At 34.7% G+C, this 22,820-nt stretch overlaps 1 protein-coding gene across 6 annotated transcripts in view; it reads right to left on the bottom strand.

The window, feature by feature from the left end:
• Positions 1-22,820, bottom strand: part of GLRB (glycine receptor beta) — a 95,941-nt gene that overhangs the window by 43,426 nt on the left and 29,695 nt on the right. For all 6 annotated transcript variants that reach the window (NM_001440545.1, NM_000824.5, NM_001166061.2 and 3 more), the window contains 2 exons: positions 8,003-8,109; positions 6,268-6,335 (listed from right to left, as the gene is read on the bottom strand). In NM_001440545.1, coding sequence (NP_001427474.1) covers positions 6,268-6,270 — 3 coding nt within the window. In that variant the 5' untranslated portion in view covers positions 6,271-6,335; positions 8,003-8,109. The remainder of the gene's footprint in view (positions 1-6,267; positions 6,336-8,002; positions 8,110-22,820) is intronic.

The raw sequence follows: 22,820 nt of genomic DNA, 5'->3' as shown, positions 1-22,820 counted from the left end.
TGTTCATAGTCCATTTCTATTAGGAGAGCCTGCTAGGTGGTGCTATGGTGCCACACTAGGCTGGAAACCCCATAAAGAATAGAGACCTGCTGAGGCTGAGTATAAAAAGCATCCAATACACTTCTATTAAATACAGGAATGAGGAAATGCCTTCTGTATCATGTTGACAGTTCAGTTCAGGAAGTTGTGTAGTATTATTCACACCATTAATTTTTTTCATATCCACTAATAACAATAATCAAATTACTAGAAAGAGAAAACAAAACTTGGACATTTTTCATCCTTCCACAATGCCTAATACAGTACTCTTACTTGTGAAATTTAATCACCAATGCTTCCAAATAATGTAACTTGAAGAAAAAAGGTAATGAGGAAAGTATCCATAACAAATTGTTGAGTTTCATGTACGTACACTAAAAAAAGGTAACTTTGACACAAAGGAATAAAGTATATTTTAACTACTAAAAACATATATATAGATATTTAAAAATTACATCCTTAATAGAATTAACCTTAATGAGTGAGAGGTTTAAGTAATTACTCAATAAAATACAACTGATTAGTCTGGCATTTTCATATATGGAAAAAGTTATGTTATAATCAGATAATCCTTCAGCTGGACTTGGGAGGAAGTTATATGCAATCAGATAAACCTCCAGCAGAATTCAGAAGGAAAAAAATTACTAACAAATGCTCATCAGCATATGTACTAGTTTCCAATTGCCACTGTAACAAAATTACCAAAAATAGTGGCTTCAAGCACCACACATTTAGTATCTTACAGTTCTGTAGCTTAGAAGACCAAAATCATGTTCACTGAGCTGAAGTCAATTGTTCTGTCTGAGGGGCTGGTTCCTTTGAAGCCTCTGAGGAATGAACCTCTTTCCTTTGGCTTCTTCAGCTCCTAGAGGTCACCTGCATTCCTTAAGTCATGGTCCCTTCCTTGCATGACAACTGCTTCATGCTTCCTGCATCACAGCTACTACCACTGACCCTGATCTTGCTGTCTCTGTCTTACAAGAACGCTATCAATTACACTGGTTCACTTGAAGAAACTGGGATACTCTCCCCCGATCTCCAAATATTTAATTTAATCACATCTGAAATGTCCTTTTTAACATATAAAACAGCATATCCACAGGTTTGAAAAGGATATAAAATTTAGCCTCTAGTGAGATTAGAAATTTCATATAAGAATTGTGATTACTGGTGATTATGACATGAACATCTTTAGGGGGCCATTATTCAGCCAACAACAGAGTGCAAACCCTGAAGATGAATAACATGAGAAAAATAAATATGAAATCAGTTTAATGTTTATGATTTTACATCTAAGATGTAAAATCTACTAAGATATGTGAAATAAAAAATGGGACAAATATGTCTAATATTATTCTACAGTAAATTCTATTATTCTATAGTACATGCTTTAAAATTAACAACAAAAACAAAATATAAATAGTAAACTGAGGCAAGTTTTAAGGAAAGCATTTTAAATCTAAATATAAAAATATATAAAATAAAATTGTTTTAAAACAACAAAGATGAGCAATTACCAAGAACTAGAATCAAGCATTTTTAGTGGATCCCAAATATGAATTTTTTTCTTGACAGTCACAGCTGTGTTTCCCAAAAGGAGTTGCAATCTATTATTAAAATAAACAAAAAGTCATGGAACAAAAAGGCATAGAAAGTCTGACAGGATCATGAATTATAGTGCAATAATAATTCAATATAATTACAAAGGATGCCTAAACTAAAGAAAGAAAATAGATTGTATAAACAGGCTTTTATTTCCATGAAAGAGCTCTTATGTATTTCTGATAAGTCAAAGTGCCAGTGTATAGATTATGACAATACACGATAATACCCAGTTTTCCCTACATAAGTTCGATAGGTCACATTTTCAATTATGAAAATCCTGCTGATTAAAGCCAAAGTTAGGAACTGAATGGAAACTCAACAAATATTGTAAGCATAACTGTAGAACAGATGTCACCTAGCCCCTAACAAATCATTCTTCTCACTGTTTTGAATACTCTTATTTCAGTTGTCACAAGCAGTAGCACATAAACTGGTAGAACTAGAACTGACTGTTCCAGCAACTTCAAATTGGGATGATAACATTTATTTGACAATTTTGGTGATGCTACTGTTAATGTTGGTAAATACCACTTATAGTATTGATAATGATACCTTACAAAAATGTAAGGTAGCAAAATACAAATGAGCACACAGACATGAGAAATAGGAACTATAAAGCTTCACAATGAGGCCATAAAACAGGCTGAAGCAGCGTATAACCACAGAGATATGGAAGACCTTAAGGAATATTAATAAGGCTGTAATTTTTCCTCCACTATACAATTATGGTTTATGAATAATGTGAGGTGACTTCTAGTTTAGCCAGCAACATTTAGCATCTAAATTTAGAGAAAAAAAGCAAAAACAAATTTTTTCCAAATAGAATTGGTTAAAATTTCCTGACAATAACATTAATGCCAATAACTTTGCTTGCTTCCTTGTTTGATAATCAACATTATCCACTGATGAAATGGGCTGCCCCTCTTCCTTTAAAAGTTGCCCTCCATCTTTCTGACACCTGACTCGTGGCTATTCATGTTATATCTACTCCCAGGCTCTGTGTTCTGCATTGTGCTTTCTTTAATAAGCACTATCTGCTGAAGTAGAATGGTTTGAATTTCAGAGGAAAGCACAGAGCAATACTGAAGCTTTTTAAATGTTAAGACTTCCTTTGGCATGATCTCAGCTCACTGCAACCTCCACCTCCTGGATTCAAGTGATTCTCCAGCCTCAGCCTCCCAAGTAGCTGGGATTACTGGTGTGCACCACCATGCCCAGCTAATTTATTTATTTATTTATTTTGTATTTTTAGTACAGACGGGGTTCACAGTGTCGGCCAGGCTGGTCTTATACTCCTGACCTCAAGTGATCCACCTGCCTCAGCTTCCCAAGTTGCTAGGATTACAGACATGAGCCACTGTGCCTGGCCAGGAATTCCTTTATTTTTGTACATCCTTGTAGGGGAGATTTCTAGGAGGCTAGTAATAGACAAAGCCACACATATACAGTAGGACTGCTAATACAATTAGAAATAATTCAGTTTTTAGGATAATATACTACTGTGAAATTTTAAATTAATTTGCTAATGTATGACAACCAAAAAGTCATCATCACTGGCATAGTGGTTGCTATGCCAGTCAAAATACCGTTGTTTTAATTTTGTAACTTATTCCCTCCCTTTAGTAACACAGCAAGGACACAACAGACTCAAACACAAGCCTGTTGGATGACACAACTCACACACAGCCCACCATTATATTGCCATGAATGTGCATCTTATATATAGACAAATCTAATACTCTCTGCTTTCTCAAACTCTTGTTTTGGGGAACTTTTTTTGTTTATTTTTATTATTTTTGTTTGTTTTGAAGAAGTATCCTCTCATAACATAACTCCTGTCCAGACATGTATACCCTTTTGGGTTACACTTCTGTGTTATCACTATTATTTTCTGACCATTGTTTATAACAAATTATGAAGAAATGAAGTGTTGTCTAGATGAATTTTTTCTTTTGAAAGATATTTTAATGTCATTTATGTATCTATAATGACTTATGCTTTCCTAACTATTAAACAACAAGGTATTACAGCATTTGCCTTGAGAAGACTGAGCAAATATATGAAATATGACTGTAAAATGATATATGTGTACAATTCTACTTTATAAAGGTATATAAAATAAATATTGCTGGAAGCAAAAAAGAATAATTATGATAAAATGGAATATTTACATCTATTTAATGAGTGTAGTTCTGATCTTAAACATTTAGGCATGTCGGTCAATATAAAGTGAAGGGCAGATTGGTTTTCATCCAGGCTATATGATCAAAGAAATAATGAATATAAATAATTTGACTCCTTTAGATAAAGGTTTTCAAAGTTTTCAAAATTACACTCTGTAGTAACGACATTATTCAGTCTGTTATTAAGCCATCTAAATGCTCAACATTAATCTACTGTTTAAATTTGTTCCACCAACCATTTTACTTAACTAAGCAAATAGCAATTTTATTTGTTCATTTATTCACTCACTATTGGCTAATATAAAAATATTTATTTATGTGTTCACCATTGAGTGCCTAATGTCTTCTGTATTTTATGGAAAAATGAGTAAGTAGAATACATTATTGCTAATTTTATGAGTTTATAGTCCATTAGAGAATAAAAGGAATACACACAAAAATAATTTAATTACAGTATAGAAGCTATTAAAGTAACAGACAAATAATAGAGATGAAAAACCTAGATTGAAAAGAGTGCACAAAGTGAGTGAGAATAGCCATGAAAATTTCTGTTTAGAAGAGAAGAAGATCAAGAATAAAAAGCAAGGGTAAAGACTCCATGGTGAGAATTTATTGAATCTGGTACCGAGGATAAGTTATTCTTGGCTAACTACTGGGATGGGTCTGTGCAGATGAGTGAGAGGATATTAGAAATGATGAAATATTTTATCATAATCATCAAAACTCTGTAAGAATTTATTTAAATATTACATGCTCCCTGGTATTTTCAACTCAATACAGTCTAGTAACTACTGATGAGACCTACCAGAATTCCTTCCTGATAGTTGGAAGGAATTCAGTATTTATTACAAAATAGATACATTAATGATACCTACTGAGCTATGACATATGCAAAGAAGAAAAAAAGATCCTTGCATTAGCTGACCTAAAACTCTCTTGGATCTGATCACAGGGGCATGCAAGATAAAGAGTGGGGATGTTTCCTATAAGACGCAATATCTTCATAGCTGTGTTTCTGTATTAGTGTAGTGGTGTCGTGCTAGATAACCAGGGTACAGAACAGGGTGTGGAGATCAAATAGATTCCTGCAAAGTTTTACCTTGAGAAAATGATATCTCTTACTCTTGGAAAGTGAAGTATATAGACAGATTAACCACATTTTCAGTTAATGAGTGCTATAGTGTCTCTTGAGTCATATATAGTAGTTTATATTTTATTTCAGAAAGGTCTCCTAGTGATTTATAATGCATGTCTATGTTATTTAAATGATGTAAAAAGTCACTGGAAGTGAATTTTGGACATAATCCCCAAATCTTTTAAGTAATTCTCTAAAATATCTACACTTTGTCCATTACCCAGCTTAAATATATACTTCTACAAATAAATAACACTCTCATCACAATTAAAATTTAAAAATAGGTGTCATTAATTAAATGCAATGTACAATTGCTTTTATAATGTACTATGCTGCTGCTACTAGGAATAATGGAGTAAATATTTTAAGTAATTATTTCACTAGTCTGAGATATTCTCAGGAAAATTAGACTGTACTCTTGCCATTCTTACTAGGCTTGCAATCAAAATCTTATATTTAATAAAATAAAAGTGTCTCCCAAAAATACAGGAAAATAAATCTTAGGTCTTCTTTCTTCCACCTGAAGTATTATTTCACCATGTGGTTTGTCAAAAAGAGCACAAATTTAATATTCTAAAACCTTAGTAAGCAAATAGACTTTATCGAATGGCTTTCAAGAGGCTTAGGAAATCTACTAATATTACTTTACTGAAAACTTTGTCCCTAAAGTCCAACTTATCATGGACAACAGCCAAACCTCTCTTGAACCTCTTTCCTATTCCTTTCAAGACACGAATCTGCTTGTCACTCCTTCCCAGTCTTCACCTGCCTTTCCCGGCCCTTTCATCTTGCTGCACCATCTTTTCAAGGCGTTCACATTGCCCTATCTTATGAAAATCAATTTTCTTATTTGCTTCTTACAATTCCCTGCTCTACATATCACAAAATGAACATAACAGGTAAAACAAGGATTCTCCTCAGGAAATTGGAAGAAAAAAACTTGAATACTTAAAACATTTTGAATGTTCCAACATATAAGCATATTAGAAAACAAAAACTGTTGCCCAAGAGTCTTCATGGCATAAGCGCTTTCTCCAGGTTGTATCCAATCACAGTTTTTCAGGGGGAATACATCAATTCTTTTAAGTCTGTAAGTTTTAACGCAATATTAAAGCTAAATGTGAATTGCAAAATTATGTGGGTAACTGAAATCACTGATTTAACAAAATCTAGAAATTTGGACATTTTATACTAGGAAAGGGCATGGATTATTTGAGTTGCTCCTTATTGTTCAATTTTAATGTTACTTTCACTATCTCCTCTATTGAAATATTTGACAAAATATTAAATTAATTGCAATCTTACCATTGTTGTTTCTTGAATGGATCCAAAACTGTTAATAAAAATGTTGACTACTACATCAACAGGAATGCCTATGAATAAAAATTAAGAATATATTTATTAGCTGTAAAAAACTTGGTCAGAATCATCATAGTTTTTTTGGTTTGCACATTTAATTATTATATTTTTTCCAATCCATATGGAATGCAAAAAATCTATGGTCTCAGTATAACATGTTCATAATTGCTATTAACTTGTTTTTCTAAATAGGAATCATAATACAAATAAAGCAATGAGTTCGATTATATTTTATAATGTTTTTTTTTTTTCAGGAAGAATTATGTCTTAAATTGTAGAGACTCTGTAAAATACATTTACTTTTAAATCTTTTTTTAAATTGCCCTAATACATTTACTTTAAGGAACTACAAATTATTCTTAAAGAATCATTTTGAAAACAGGGTTTCATTTTTTTGCATTTTTCTAATCAGTTCAAATTCTTACTTTAATAGGTAAAACAGTATTCAATAAATTTTACTTGTAATTATTATTTTAATTTTTAATTCATGAAAATGCAAAGCTAATTGGACACATAGCAGAGTCATTATAAAGATTTTTGCCTGACCTTTTGAAAAATAATTTGAAAGTTCACGGAGTGAGAACTAAGGTATAATGTTGCAAATTTCTTTCTATTTTTTTTCATCTCATTGTGGCTGCTCGTTGTGCTAACAAAGGGAAAATGTGAATTTAGCCTTTTAGCCACATAACCACTAACTGATGAAAAACAGGTGGTGAATCAATATATGGTAGACATGTGACAACCCAGACCATGGCTGTTGTTGAAAGTAACTGAATAGGTCCTGGTAATGAACAAAAACCCATTTTTACAACATAGTTGTATAACTTCAGTTGACTAGAAGCAGCTGCAGACCTATTTTTTTTTTCTAAAGGCAAAAAAAAAAAAAATCAAGCCTTATAATGTTAATCTGATCTACATTAATACCTGTCCTTAACCAGCAACAAGGATTATAGTTTTCCAGAGGAGATGTTTTTCATACAGCTTTTTTCTAATTCATCAAAAGTACAAAAAAGGTCTCTACAACTGCACAATCTGCTCATGGCTTATTTTATTGTAAGCATAGTTTTGGTTTTTAAAAGGTGTGATAAATGGTAATATCTAATTGGAATAAAAATAATCTATGTTGTGGACTACGTAATCACTTTTATTCACAAAGCTAACATGCTTTTAAAAATCATACGGCCAATTGTTTTTTCAGCAAAAGAATAGAGAGAATTTTCTATTAATGTGAAATAATAACAAAAAGTAAGAAAGACTCTAAATATACATCAGAACTGTTCTCTTTCCCTAAATGAGAAAATCATCATTCTGCAAATTATAACTCTGGTGTCTGTGAATGAAAGCCAGGTCTATTTCCAGAGCCTAAATTTTAAACCACTAAGGTTAAGAATAGTACTTAGAAAACCCATTGCGGATGTTGGCCTATTAATTCACAGTATATCCTTTTTTGAATTTTTAAAAACAGGTAACCTATAAAACAATTAGAATTCATATTTTACTCATCTGAATATTTTAGGCATTGAATTGTTCTGAACTTAAGGACATTTTTGTTATATATCACTTTGAAATCTTACTGTTTTGAATATCACAAAGCATATACATATAAAATATCACAAATCTCTAAACATATAAAATTAATTTTTAAACAATAAAAATGAACATTTATATGGGGGAGACAAACCTTTGAAGTTTGGTCTTATCCTGGGATCATAACTGACCAATAACCTGTTCAAGATATTGCTAGTGGAGTTGGCAGGTACTCGGGCAAGGTCCTCTGCTGACTGCTGACTATAAGAGAGAGAAAAATCCTGATAAGTAGTTATAAATAGCAAACAACAGAAATGGGTAATTCTCATTGGGAGGAAAGACTGCCTTTTTGAGACAAATCCACAACTATAGTATGGCTTTTTCTTCTTTTTTTTATTTATTTTATTTTATTATTTTATTTTATTTTATTATTATTATATTTTAAGTTTTAGGGTATGTGTGCACAATGTGCAGGTTAGTTACATATGTATACATGTGCCATGCTGGTGTGCTGCACCCATTAACTTGTCATTTAGCATTAGGTATATCTCCTAAAGCTATCCCACCCCCCTCCCCCCACCCCACAACAGTCCCCAGAATGTGATGTTCCCCTTCCTGTGTCCATATGTTCTCATTGTTCAATTCCCACCTATGAATGAGAACACGCAGTGTTTGGTTTTTTGTTCTTGCGACAGTTTACTGAGAATGATGATTTCCAGTTTCATCCATGTCCCTACAAAGGACATGAACTCACCATTTTTTATGGCTGCATAGCATTCCATGGTGTATATGTGCCACATTTTCTTAATCCAGCCTATCATTGTTGGACATTTGGGTTGGTTCCAAGTCTTTGCTATTGTGAATAGTGCCGCAATACACATATGTGTGCATGTGTCTTTATAGCAGCATGATTTATAGTTCTTTGTGTATATACCCAGTAATGGGATGGCTGGGTCAAATGGCATTTCTAGTTCTAGATCCCTGAGGAATCGCCACACTGACTTCCACAAGGGTTGAACTAGTTTACAGTCCCCCAACAGTGTAAAAGTGTTCCTATTTCTCCACATCCTCTCCAGCACCTGTTGTTTCCTGACTTTTTAATGATTGCCATTCTAACTGGTGTGAGATGGTATCTCATTGTGGTTTTCAAATAGAAATAGAGACTAGTAAATATTGTTAAAAACCCAAAAGACATTGTTATTAAAAATATATATATTTTAACAATTAACTTTACTAAATGTATGAAACATTGCTCTAAATACTCCATGTTACTTTCTATAAAGTAAAATTAAGCAGACAGGTTACTTGTTCTGAAGCAACCTGCCATTGAAATCTAGGCAAGTACAAAGGGAGTGCACACAATGAGAAAAAAACAACAAAGAACATTTTTTGAACAATGTGTAATATTAGCCTGCCAACACAAAAACAATCTGACCAGAGAGATGGTCTAAGAATTCATAAGGCAATCATGCTGATGTTCATAAAATGATATTCCCCAAGAAATACAGTGAACATTTTCCTCACTCAGTAAAATATGGCAGCTTGGGAGGCAGAAGGGAATTGGTAAAATACTTTTCACTATTATCAGATAAATGAAACAAGTAAAATACTCTATACTATAAGAGATAACTACCTATTGCTTTTCTATATATATTTGTCATGAACTCTTTATTAAGAAGAGGAAAATCTGCATTGTTTTGCTATTTTAATTAACTTTGAATAATGATAAGTGACAAAATTGGTGGTTGCTTAAGAGCCCTTTTTTAGAAAGGCACTTTCTTGGAAGCCAAGGAAAATGTTTTGTTGTTTTTGTTTGAGTTTGGTTTATTTTACCCCTCATAAAGTCTTATGCATAATAATTTTTCCCATTACCTACACACACACACAAAATCCATGACAATCACAAGGAAGAGCAAAACTCTACTTGAAGCACCTAGCACAGCCTTTTCTGTGTTGATATGGTAAAAAGTCTCAGTTTCATAAATTATATTAATTTATATGAAGGAAACTTAGATGCAACAGGCTTGGCTTTGTATTGAAATCAAAAGTCTTTATCTATTAGGCATTTCTGAGTTTATTTTCATACAATCTGCCGATAAGAGGCAACCATTGTAGGTGAGATATAACAGAAAAAAATGTATGACATAATTTAATAATACTATGAATTGATATAGACAACCCTTTCAAATAGAAATTCAGTCAGAGTGCAAAGCATTTTAAAAGATGAAAATCAATCAGTTAGACCTCCCAAAAGTGCATAGATCATACGGATTTTTAAAAATTGCTTCTTGTGGCTTTATTGGCTCCAATATCACAGCTTCATAAACTTGAGGGCTGGTAATTAGATTTTCCAATTAATTGCAGGTAAAACTATAACTTCCTTACAGCCAGTTGTCATCCTTTAACAAAAGATGGAAAACTCTAAAGAGAATGAGCGCACGTGGGAAAATTGGATATTAGGATGCAAATTAGCGTTCAAACCTATCTACAAGTTTTCTCATTCAAAGGAAGTAAAAGAATTGATTGATTACAAAATACACTTGTATTGGATCAATTCAGGACTGCTGTTATTGTGTCTCTTCATATAAAATCTTTTACAAGTACATTCCTTCTAAACAATGAAAAGACAACATGAAGACAATTAACACTAAATTTTGTAGTTTAGAACTTTCCAGCTGATTTTTCTGCTTCTAGCTGTAGGCTGTGTCAGTCAAACTCATTTTTAGCCCTTTATCTCACTACCAAATTTTGTCCTTCTTCCACAGAATCAGTCTCTCTTCCTGGAATATTGTAACTTCCATTCTTTATTGTACTAATCTAAACCAAACCTGTCCTTTTAAACCTCATCTTCTTTGTAAAATCTTGCATCAACCATGCAACCTTACTCTAATAAACATGAACTAATAAATATATTGTTTGGCAATGATTTTGTAGCTTTTCTTTTCTTATCTACGAGTATATTACCAACTAGACAAAATGAAAACAGTATGATTATTGAGGGATTCATGGCTTCTATATATCTGTAGTTCCCTACTGTTTTTATAGTATTAAATACACATTGGTTCAAGTACTTCCAATCTGCCATCTCTTCTAGGTATATTTCAGCCTCATGTTGCCTGTGCTGTAAGGGGTAAGCAGTTCCACTCGTTATTTCCAGAGGAAGAAGAACATTTTGTCCTGTGGCACTCTCTTAGGAGTAATGACTTCCCCCACCCTCAGAATCTTCCCAGCATTGACCATTGCTGAACTACTAGCAAGGAGGAAGAAACATTCATGATTGGCTCAGATCAATAGTCTGGTGCGGAATGAATATTGGAGAATCAACCATTATGTCCATCACATTCTTTCATTTGATAGTCATGTTCACGTGATTAAACAGAAGAGATATTAGCCACACAGAAAGCTGTTATTTTGAGGGAGATAATGGTAGAAAAACATTGGTAGAAGAGTAAGAGGTAAGTAAATGAACCTGTAGAGTACATGGTGTATGAAGAAACTAAGACAGCAGGGTTAAGAGATTTTTCTAAGGTGGTAGAGCCAAGAATGAAACCTGCTCCATGGTAAGCCTGCCATAGTGTAAGTGAAATATTATCTATCTTCTTATTACCATCCATACACATATTGCTTTAGGGCATATGTATTTTACCTTGAGTTCTATTCATTTTACTAAGCATTGTTAAAAATCATTAGTACTGAAAATATAAATTGGCCCTTTCTATCAGTTCACTCTTCTACCATCTCCAAATGTTTTTCAACTCTCCACTGTTAAAAACAAATTTTTGTTCGTTAGCAACAAAAACTCAACATTGTTTGACAAAAATCTTTTGAAAATCAAACAAGCAAACAAACAACAACAAAAAAACAACCCAGGGAATATACCAAATATCATATGGCCCCTTTTCTTCTATTCTTATTTGTGTCAATATATATTTTCATGTCTCAGCTGCAGGTAACTTGGCATAAATGTTTAATCAACAATTCACATTTATTTGTATTAGAAATACAGAGATGTTTTAAAATTTAAATAAAATTCCATGTAGTTTATATTCATATGCATGAACTCAGGGTTTTTCCCACCTAAAAAAAGTTAAAATCATATTTTTTAGCTTATCAATACTAAAATAACATTAAAATTATCTCTACAGACTAAAATATAAGAGATTAAATGGATACAGTCACTTTGTTTTAAAGAGTTAAAACAATTTGCATGTAACATATTTTCCCTTGTCTGTATGTTACTATATATCTCCTTATAATTTAGAAAGTAAGTTAGTATTACTTAACACAAAATAAACATGAAAAAGGAGAGTTAAGTGATTTAAATTAGATCACACACTTAATGCCTGCTTTGTTATTAAAGTCTTCATATTCTGAATCTCAGTCCAATGTTTTATGCATTTGACTATGCTATTTTGTTTTATTTTAAGAAATCTATCAACAATTCCAATATATTAAAAAGCAGGATTTATTTCTTGGAAATATGACATTAATTTAAGAAAATAACTTATTCTACTTGGGCAAAGTGATCAAATGACTAGAGAAAATAGAGTTTTATATCAAAAGCCTTTTACAACCAGTCATCTTTTGTTCACTTGCCTAAACTTGAACCAATGTCATTACTAATATGTAAAGTTATGCAAGGAATGTGTCAGACTGTATAGCTGTATGATGTAATATTTTCCAGCACTAAAGGAAAAATCCAGAAATTTATTTCCAAAGGAGGAAGCTCAGTTTTCTATTAACTGTAGAACATTCTTTTTTTTTACATGACCCTTCAGTGACCACAGTGCACAGTTTCATTTCAAAACAGGTGTGGATGAGTATATTGTATTAATCTTCTTGCTAAAACTAGAAATCTGAGTCTAAAGGAATTGTTTTATTTCTCCATAGAGCAATAAATGCAATGACAATTGTCAGAGGCCGTCTCAGACCTGAATGTAGTAAGTGTGGGGCTGCGCAGCTTTCAGCTGGACATGAACTTAACCAAATACAAAGCCACAGACACAAGGGTAGAATGAGGATGTAATATGTGTTGGTTGTATCATTTCTCATGCTCTAAGGCAGTGATTCTTTGCCTCTTTGTTAGATAACAGATGTCTCTGAAAATCTGATAAAAACTCTACACTTCCCCAAAAAGGGTATACAAAATTTGTGTTTCTGAGGGTTCCTGGACGAGTAGACCACAAGTTAAGAAATTCTTCATGGAAACAGATCAATCATCCTCCCTTCTACAGCAAGCAATTCTGACTCTGTGGGATGTTTTGATTACTGTTAATTCTGCTTTTCAGACACAGCAAGATACAAGAAAACATAAGGTATTATTGTTGGTGGAGGTTTTAGATGGAAGATTCCCTTTCTGAATACTACACTAAAAGGACTCAGAAAGGAATTATATCAAAGAAAACAATATAACTATAAATAGTGGCAACCGTGATGTTATTAGTCATTATTTTAAAGCTGGTAACCTCATATAAAGTGAAATGAGAAGACAATTTTTTTTTAAAGAGCAGGTATCTTACAGTAACAGAAATTAAAGAAGTGTTCAGGAAAAAAAAAAAAAAAAAACACCATAATGGAAATATGTCAATGGAAGGACACCGGAACAAACTGAGAGGGTTCCCAATGGCCAAAGCTGCAATGATTTGAGCAACAAAATAAAGTAGTATTGTATTATAGTACAAAATAAAAATTCCAGAGTCCATACAGATAAAAATAAGAATTGAATAAATGGGGAAATATAGACAAATCACTCATGAAGAATTCCAAATAATTGGTGTAGATCTTCTGCTTTCTAATTGGTGGAAAATAACTCCCCACTCCTTAGTGTGAGCTGTGCATAGTGACTCCCTTCCAAAGAGTTCAGTCTGCAAAGGGGGGTGCGGAAAGAGTAACTTTATGGCAGAGAAACTCCACGGGCACTCTCCTCAGCAGGTGATCAAGTTAACCTCAACCGTGATAAGTCATGTTGATAATATGGACCCTTGATATGATGTGATAAGAATCACATTTTAACCCGCGGGTCTTCCTCTCAAAAACCACATAACCTAGTCTAGTCATGGGAAACACATCCGATAAATCCCATCTGAAGGACATCCACAAAATATTTGACAGATACTTTACTAAACTCTCACAGTCATCAAAAGTAAGTAATGTGTGAGTGACTGTCACGGCCAAGAGAAGCACAAGAAGGCATGACAACTATGTAACATAGTATCCTGGAAGGGATCCTGTGACAGAAAACGACTTAAGGTAAAGACCAAAGAGGTCTGAATAAAGAATGGCCTTGACTTATTAATATTCTATTAATATTAGCTCTTTAATTGTAAAAAATAAATAAAAGCACCATACTAAAGAAAAATAAAAATAGAGAAAATTAGGTGCAGGGTATTTGGGAACTCTCTGTACTACCTTGGAAATTTTTCTATAACTCTATAAAGCTATTCTAAAATAAAATGTTTATTTGAAAAAAAAAAAAGAAAGAGAGAGAGAGACCAGGAAAGACACTGAGTCAGGAGAGCCAATTGCACTCTCTCCTTCCAAAATCCACAGCCTTAACTGGAAGCAAACTATGTATATAATAATCACATGGAAGTGAAACCTTGATCACATGTTAAGGCTGGGGCTTATGAAAAAAACACTGCTACTGGTCTGTAAATATAAAGGTATTAAAAGTTCAGCATTACATTTCCATCTGTATGCAATAATTTTTAGATAATCAGATAAATAGACATACAAAGACAGACAAATACTTCATGTATTCAGCTAATAAGTTAAATTGGTGGTTATTCATGAATACATATAACTGTGTAATTATTGTGGAGTATTTTTTATTTTTGTATTTTCCTACTTATCCTATAATTTACTATCACTTCTCTTGACAGCTTCTGGATTTATTTTCCATTCTGTTTTCACAGATTAAACTGTAAACAGTTTTATGAATGCAGACAGTGAGTGATACCTTTTACATGATTAGTTTAGTTTAAACTTATTTGAAAAGAATGTGTTTATGAGTGTGTGTATGTGTGTGGCAAAGTCTGTCATGTTATTATGGGCCAAGAGTCATAATTAAGAAGAGTGTTCCACAACATTCATGTTATTTATCCCCTCACCTGGGTTTCAGGAACTGTTGTAGCCTGTGGAAACATTTTCAAATCTTCTCTAGCTCCAATTATACAATTACATCATCCATGGCTCAAAGAAAAAATATTTTGCATAAAGTAGAAGCAACTATCTGGAGAGATACTAGATTTTTAATACCAGCAATTTGCAAATCTCATTGAAGGCTATCTGTTGGTCACTTTTAACTTCATATCTCATGTGAGATTACTCATTCTATGACAACCATGTAGAAGTATCTTCTATTTATACCGTATATTGCTCAACTGTAAAACATTATACATTCTCACTAATTCTAATGGGTTTGCTAATGATCTCCAAACCTCTTTGACATAAAGAGTTAAACCTCAATCCAAACACAATGTTTACTGTGCCATTACTTTCCATACTCTACAGAATAGAATTACATCCTGGCCCAGCAAGTACAAATCCATAGTTACGACTTCTAACTCTGCAACCAACTGCGATGATACTTAGCTTTTCTCAATTTTCCATATACAGCAAAAACTTAAAATATTTCCCTCCTGGCCCAACGAAAATATCTATATGAAAAATTACACACACACACATATACACACACACTAAATTTGAGTAAAATGTGGGTATAATTGAAAAACACTTCTCTGAGAGTCAAGAGACTAGTGTTCTAACCCTCAGATGGACTGTAAGCTTCCCACATGATATTGGGCCAAGCACTTACCCTCTGTGAGCTTCAGTATACTCACCTTTAAACCAAAGGTTAAATTAGGTGAGGTCTCAGAGCTCATTCATTTGACAATCTGATTCTACCTATGGTGGATGCTGCAGTGCCCCACCATCAAGGTCACCCCTCCAGGAATGAGCTTGCTCCTGGGAATGTTGGCTGCCTACAGTTCAGAGCTGAGTGTCTTCTGGAATAGCCTTTGGCTGAAGTAAGGTGTCTTGTCCTAGAGGCAGCCCATACCCAGTGACTTTGATAGGGGTATATGAAGGTGGCTGGGTCCCTTTCTACTAATTAAGACAACCCTGAAGGGCCATCCCATCTTCAGAGTTCCCAATGGCATGGACTGATCACTCAGTTGCAACCCCACTGTTCCTGTGTTTAAGCCTGCGTTACTCCCTCTTAAGACATGTTCCCAAAAGTAATCCCTTTTTTCATGCAAATTTTCATCTCAATGTCTCTGTCTCTAAGAGAATTCAACCTACAACATCAACTAAATACTAAGTTTCCTTAAGGAGCTTTACCAGTTATGCAACCACCAATATGCTAAATTTCTCTCTCACTTTAGTCATTCCTTAATTCATTTAACAGTTTCAGAGAATTTCCTATGTGCCATGCACTTGCTATGTACAGGTTATGCACTTGAGAATCAAACATACATGATCTTTATTCTGATATAAAAAAAATGGTATTTAAAGCTGTGAGTTTAGATAAATTTGTTTATGGATTCTCAAGGTTGGAAACAGATTGGATTCAGCTGAGGAATTCTAGAAATTACTGATACCTCATCCCATCACCCATATCTAGATTTAATTAGTTTTGGATGTGGCCCGGGCATCAGGGTTTTTAAAAAGCTCTTCAGATGATTTTAATTATCAGAAGAATCACTTGTTTGAAAAGAGAGTTTATGGTTAAAAAAAAAAAGACATGGAATTGAAATGTGAGGAATTGCAATATTTAATAAGCAGATAGGAAAAGATAAGCCAATAATTCAAAGAATAAATAGCCCAGGAAGAAGGGGTAAATCCAGCAGTGTGTGGCACCAACAGAACTCAAGGAAAAAAAAGAATATTTCATGAAAGAGTTGGCTAACAGGGCCAAAAGTTGCTGAGAGGTTGAGATGAGGACTGAAAGCTTTCCATGGGATTCAGCAAAAGAAAGAACTTTTTTTCAGTTGAGAAAGAGGCTAGATTGGAGTGGATAGTATAGTAAGTAGTAGGTGAAGAAATGAATGAGGGACTGCATATGACTCTATTGAAAAGTCTGTTTCCCTAAGAGTGATGTCAGCAAGATAGTGAAAAAGGAAGCCCTGGACTCTTACTCCCCCTCAAGGACATAAAAATTCAACAACAAATGGATCAATCTTCTTTGTGAGAAATTCTAAAACTAGTTGAGAGTCTTCTGTACCTCAGTTGAGTATGAAATCAGCCACACTGAACTCGTAGGAAAATAAGACACCCTCCAGCCCTAATCCCCACCCCTAAAACCCCAGCACAGCATAATATAATCATGAGGGAGTCCTCAGCTTACAGCTTCTTCCTCTGGAGTGAAGCAGTTGGACCATACACCTAGCATCTCAGTTTTTGCACATACTAGCAGAGAGACTGTCTTCTATCTCTCCTGTCTTGGAAAGCTGATAAAGCACATCATACACTAGCACACTAGGCCCCTGAGGACTACAGAGAAAAAAGTAACAGTTTGCACTAGCATGAAGACATGCCACAGCTCCTCCCCAAAGCTCAGTGCACAGCAAGGAACGGAAGTAAACCCTAGCTCCCAGCTTCTCCCTGAGAACACTTGAACCACATGTCTGCCATCCCAACTTTTTCTGGTGCTACTCAAGGGACTGGCTTTTCTCTCATCTGTCTCAGAGCACTGATAGGGCCCAGTATACACTAGACCACTGAAGGCTATAAAGAACAAAGCGGTGCTTTGAACAAGTGTGCAGAACTCATCACAGATGCTACCCGAGCTCAACACAGAGTGAGCACGTAAAAAACACCAGTGCCCAGATTCTTCTTGGGGAAGGAAAAGAGATGGATCATAGATCTGGCATTCCAACTTCTCTAAGAGCTACCAGAGGAGTTTACTTCTACCCACCTTTCTTGGAGGATAGACAGCCTAACAAACTCTGGACACCTGGGAGCCACTTTAAAAAAGGCAGTGATTTAGACTACCAAGAAGGTTTGAGAGACACACAGAAACTGGCCAGGTTGAATGGTGAAGGTCTTCTCTAGCACACGATCAATCTGTGGAAACTGGGAGATGTAGAGGTTTTTCTGCTGCATAGATAACAATACAAAGACTCAAGAAAAATAAAGAAACAGGCAAACATGATCCAAACAAAGGAATAAAATAAAACTCCAAAAACCAACCCGAATGGAAATATATGAATTACTTGACAGAAAATTTAAAACAAACAGTCATATCTTTATAAATAATAAAATGTTCAACATGCTCAGGAGAACAATACACAAAGTATGAATTTCAACAAAGAGAAAATTTTAAAGTGAAGCAGGTAGAAACCTTGAAGCTGAAGAATATAATAAACTAAAAAATTCAATAGAGAAAATCAGTGGCACATTAGAATAAGCAGAAGAAAGAATGAGCAAACATAAAGACAGGTCATTTAAAATAATTCAGAGCAAAAAAAGAAAAAACAAAAGAGTGAAGAAAAGGGTCTTATAAGACACTGTGATAATGTAACTTATAATAAGATATATATATATTTGATCTTCATTCTTGCTTCCTAGAACAGAGCTCCTAAAACCTGTAAACACTCTGGAGTGATGAATGTCTTCTGTATGCTAATAAGATGACTGGCAGTTCATGGCCCCTAGAATAGCCTTAGGATGGGGGCTGGTCACCAGAAAGACCAAAACATGATTAAAGAGTTGGGACTTTCAGCCTTATTCCCACCCCGCAACCTTCAGGGAGGGGAGAAAGGTTGAAGGTTGAGTTGATCACCAATGGCTGAAGATTTCATCAATCATGGCTTTATGATGATGCCTCCATAAAAAACCCAAAACACAGGGTTTAGAGAGCTTCCAGAAAGCTGGAGACATAGAGGATTGTAAAGGATGGTGTACCCAGAGAGGGCACGGAAGCTTTATGCCCCTTCTCACATGCCTCGTTCTGTGCATATTCTCCAGTTGCCTGATCACCTATATCCTTTGTATAATTCCTTCACAATAAATGGGTAAAAATAAGTGAAGTGAAGTGTTTTCCTGAGCTCTGTGAGCTGCTCTAGCATATTAATCAAACCCAAGGACATGATCAGGGGAATCCAGATTTACAGTCAGTTAGTCAGAAGTACAGGACACAACCTGGGACTTGTTATTGGCATCTGAAGTGTGGGGCAGTCTTCTTGGACTGAGCCTTTGAGCTGTGTGATCCAACACTATCACCAGGAAAACAGAATTTAAAAATAAATTATAGGACAAACAATTGGTATCCCCTAGAGAACTGACTGGTTGGCATCTGAAGCAAAATGCCACACACACATCTGTTGTCAGAAGTATTCTACTGGAGAGTACAGTGTAAAAAACACACTTAGGCTTTTCCTACAGATTCCATCAAGCAGACCAAGATAGGCATTATGGGAATTACAGAAGAAGTAAAAAGGGAGAAATAATTAGGAAACGAATTCTAAGAAATAATGGCTAAAATCATCCCAAATCTGAGGAAGGAAATGAACATTCAGATTCAGAAATCCCAGAAAGCCCCCAAAAAGATAAAACTAAAGTAATACACACAAATTGTATTAGTCCAGTTTCTCCAGAAAGACAGAACCAATAGGAAATACAGCCATACCTCAGACATATTTAGAGATCAGTTCCAAACCACCACAATAAAGTGAATATTGCCATAAAGTTAGTCATACAAATGTTTTGGTTTCCCAGTGCATATAAGAAACTAAACTGTAGTCTGCTAAATGTATAATAGCATTATGTATTAAATAATAAACATACCTTAATTTTAAAATATCACTAAAAAATGCTAACAATCATCTGAGCTTTAAACAAGGTTTCATCTTTTTTGCTGATAAAAGAGTCTTGCCTTGATGTTGATGACTGCTGACTGATCAAAGTGGTGCTTGCTGAAGGCTGGGGTGGCTGTGGCAATTTCTTAAAATAGACAAAAGTGAAGTTTGCTAGATCAATGGACTCTTCCTTGTATGGCAGATGTGTCTTTAACATGCAGTGCTGTTTGATAGCCTTTTATCTACAGAACATCTTTCAAAATTGGAGTGAATCCTCTCAAACTCCTGCTGCTTTATAAACTAAGTCCATGTAATAATCAAAATCCTGTGTTGTCATTTTGACATTGTTCTCAGTATATTCACCAGAAGATCTGAGTAGAGTCCATTTCAGGAAACCACATTCTTTGCTCATCCATAGGAATCAATGCATCTTCTGTTCAAGTTTTATCATGAAATTGCAACAATTCAGTCACATTTTCAGGTTCCAGTTTTAATTTAAGTTTTCTTGCTATTTCCACCATCTCTGCAGTTAATTCCTCCACTGAAGTTTTGAACTACTCAAAGTCATCCAAAAAAGTTATAATCAACTTCTTCCAAACTCCTGTCAATGTTGATATTTTGACTTCCTTTCATAAATAACAAATGTTCTTAATGGTATCTAGAAGAGTGAATCCTTTCCAGAAGGTTTTCAATGTATTTGGCCCAGATCCATCAGGGGAATTACTATCTATGATAGATATAGCCTTAGTAAATGTATTTCTTAGATAATAAAACGTGAATGTCAAAATGGCTCCTTGATTCATGGTCTGAAGAATGGATGCTGTATTAGCAGGCATGAAAACAACTCCTTGTATAATACATCTCCGTCAGAGCTCTTGGGTGACCAGGTGCATTGTCAATGAGCAGTAATGTTTGAAAATGAGTCTTTTTTCCTGAGTGGTAGGTCTCAATAGTGGGTTTAAAGTCTTCAGTAAATCATGTTGTAAACAAATGTGCTGTTACCCAGTCTTTGTTGTTCCATTTCCAGAGCACAAAGAGAGTAGATTTTGCATAATTCTTAAGGGCCCTAGGATTTTTGAAATGGTAAATGGGCATTGACTTCAACTTCAAGTCACCAGTTGCATTAGCCCTTAACAAGAGTGTTAGCCTGTTCTTTGACTGGGCATTGACTTCTTTCTAGCTATGAATAATGGTGTCTTCTTCCAATATAAGGCTGTTTAATCTACATTGAACATCTGTTGTTTCGTATATTCACCTTCATCAAAGATCTTAGCTAGATCTTCTGGATAACTTGCTGTGGCTTCAACATCAATACTTGCTGTGCCACCTCACACGTTTGTGTTATGCAAATGGCTTCTTTCCTTCAACCTCATGAACCAACCTCTGCTAGCTTCCAAATTTTCTTCTGCAGCTTCCTTACTTCTCTTAGCCTTCATAGAATTAAGAAGAGTTAGGGCCTTGCTTAGGATTAGACTTTGGCTTAAGGGAATGTCATAGGTCATTTGGTCTTCTATCTAGACCACTTAACCTTTCTCCAGCTCAGCAATAAGACTGTTTCACTTCCTTATCATTCATGTGCTATGAGAATGGCACTTTTAATTTCCTTCTAGAACTTTTTCTTAGCATTCACAACCTGGCCGTTTGACAAAGAGACCTAGCTTTCAGCCTGTTTTGGCTTTTGACATACCTTCCTCATTAAGCTTAATCATTTCTAACTTTTGGTTTAAAGTGAGAGACATGCAGCCCTTCTTTTCACCTGAAAACTTAGAGACAATTGTAGAGATATTAATTGGCCTAATTTCAATGTTGTTGTATCTCAGAGCATAAGAAGGCTTGAGGAGAGGGAGGGAGATGAAAAGACAGACTCCCAGTTGTTCACACACCACATTTAGTAAATTTGCACTCTTATGTGGGCATGATTTGTGGCACCCCAAAACAATTACAACAGTAACACCAAAGTTCATTGATCACAAATCACTCTAACAGATACAATAATAATCATAAGATTGAAATATTGTGAGAATTACCAAAACATGACACAGAGACACACGGGGAACACAAGCTGTTGGAAAAATGATGCCAACACACTAGCTCAAAGCAGGTTGCCGCAAACCTTTAATTGGTGTTTTTTAAAAAGGCAGTATATAGAAGATGAGATTTAATAGTGGTATTGGCTGACTCAATTAAAGAGGCTGAGAAGTCTTAGGATAGGCTATCGGCAAGTTGGACACCCTGCAATGCCAGTAGCATGGTTCAGTCCAAGTCCAAAAGTCTCAGAACTAGGGAAGGTGATGGTGTAATTCTTAGTTTGATATTGAAAGCCTGAGAACCTAGAGGGCTGAGTGCCAGGTTCCAAATACCAGGGAGCCTCAAGTTCTGATGTCCAAGGGAAAGAGAAAAGGTTGTCCTAGCTCCAGGAAAAAAAAAGAGAGAGAGAGAAAGAATTCACCTATCTTCTGCTGTTTTATTATATTCAGGCCCCCATCCAATTGGGTAGTGTTCACCCACATAGAAGGCAGATCTTCCCTACTCAGTACACCAACTTGCATGCCCATCTACTCTGAAAACACCCTTACAGACACACACAAAGGTAATGCTTTACGAGCTCTCAAGATATTCCTTGTTGTAGTCAAGTTGACATCTCATCAACATGCACATTCTAATGACATTGTCAAGAGCAAAAACAGAGAGAATTGAGAAAGCATCAGGCTAAAAGCCACTTGTCAAGTACATGTGAACCTCCATAAGACTATCAGTGGATTTTTCTGCAAAAAATATCATACATCCCAAAAGGCAGTGGGATAATACATTCAAAGAGCTGAAAGAAAGAAAAAAGAAAAGAAACTCACCCAAGAGTACTCTACATGGCAAACTCGTCCATCAAAAATGAAGGAACAACTTTCCCAAAACAAACAATAGCTGAGGAAATTCATCACCACTAGACATGCCTTATAAGAAATGCTAAAGGGAGTTCTTCAACTTAAAATGAAAGGATGCTAAAATGTAAAACTTGGTAAAGTTATATATAGTCTAATAAAGAATATCATATTACTATAATGGTGATGGTTAAATTATTTTAATTTTGATATAATTTTTTTAAAAAAGAGATCTACTTTCGATTTAAGGATACACATAGGCTGAAAGCAAAGAGATGAAAAAAGATACAAATGTTAA

This window comes from Homo sapiens, chromosome 4 (genome assembly GCF_000001405.40).
Source record: "Homo sapiens chromosome 4, GRCh38.p14 Primary Assembly".
In the NCBI taxonomy this organism is placed as follows: domain Eukaryota; kingdom Metazoa; phylum Chordata; class Mammalia; order Primates; family Hominidae; genus Homo; species Homo sapiens.
This window is presented reverse-complemented; position numbering and strand designations above follow the sequence as displayed.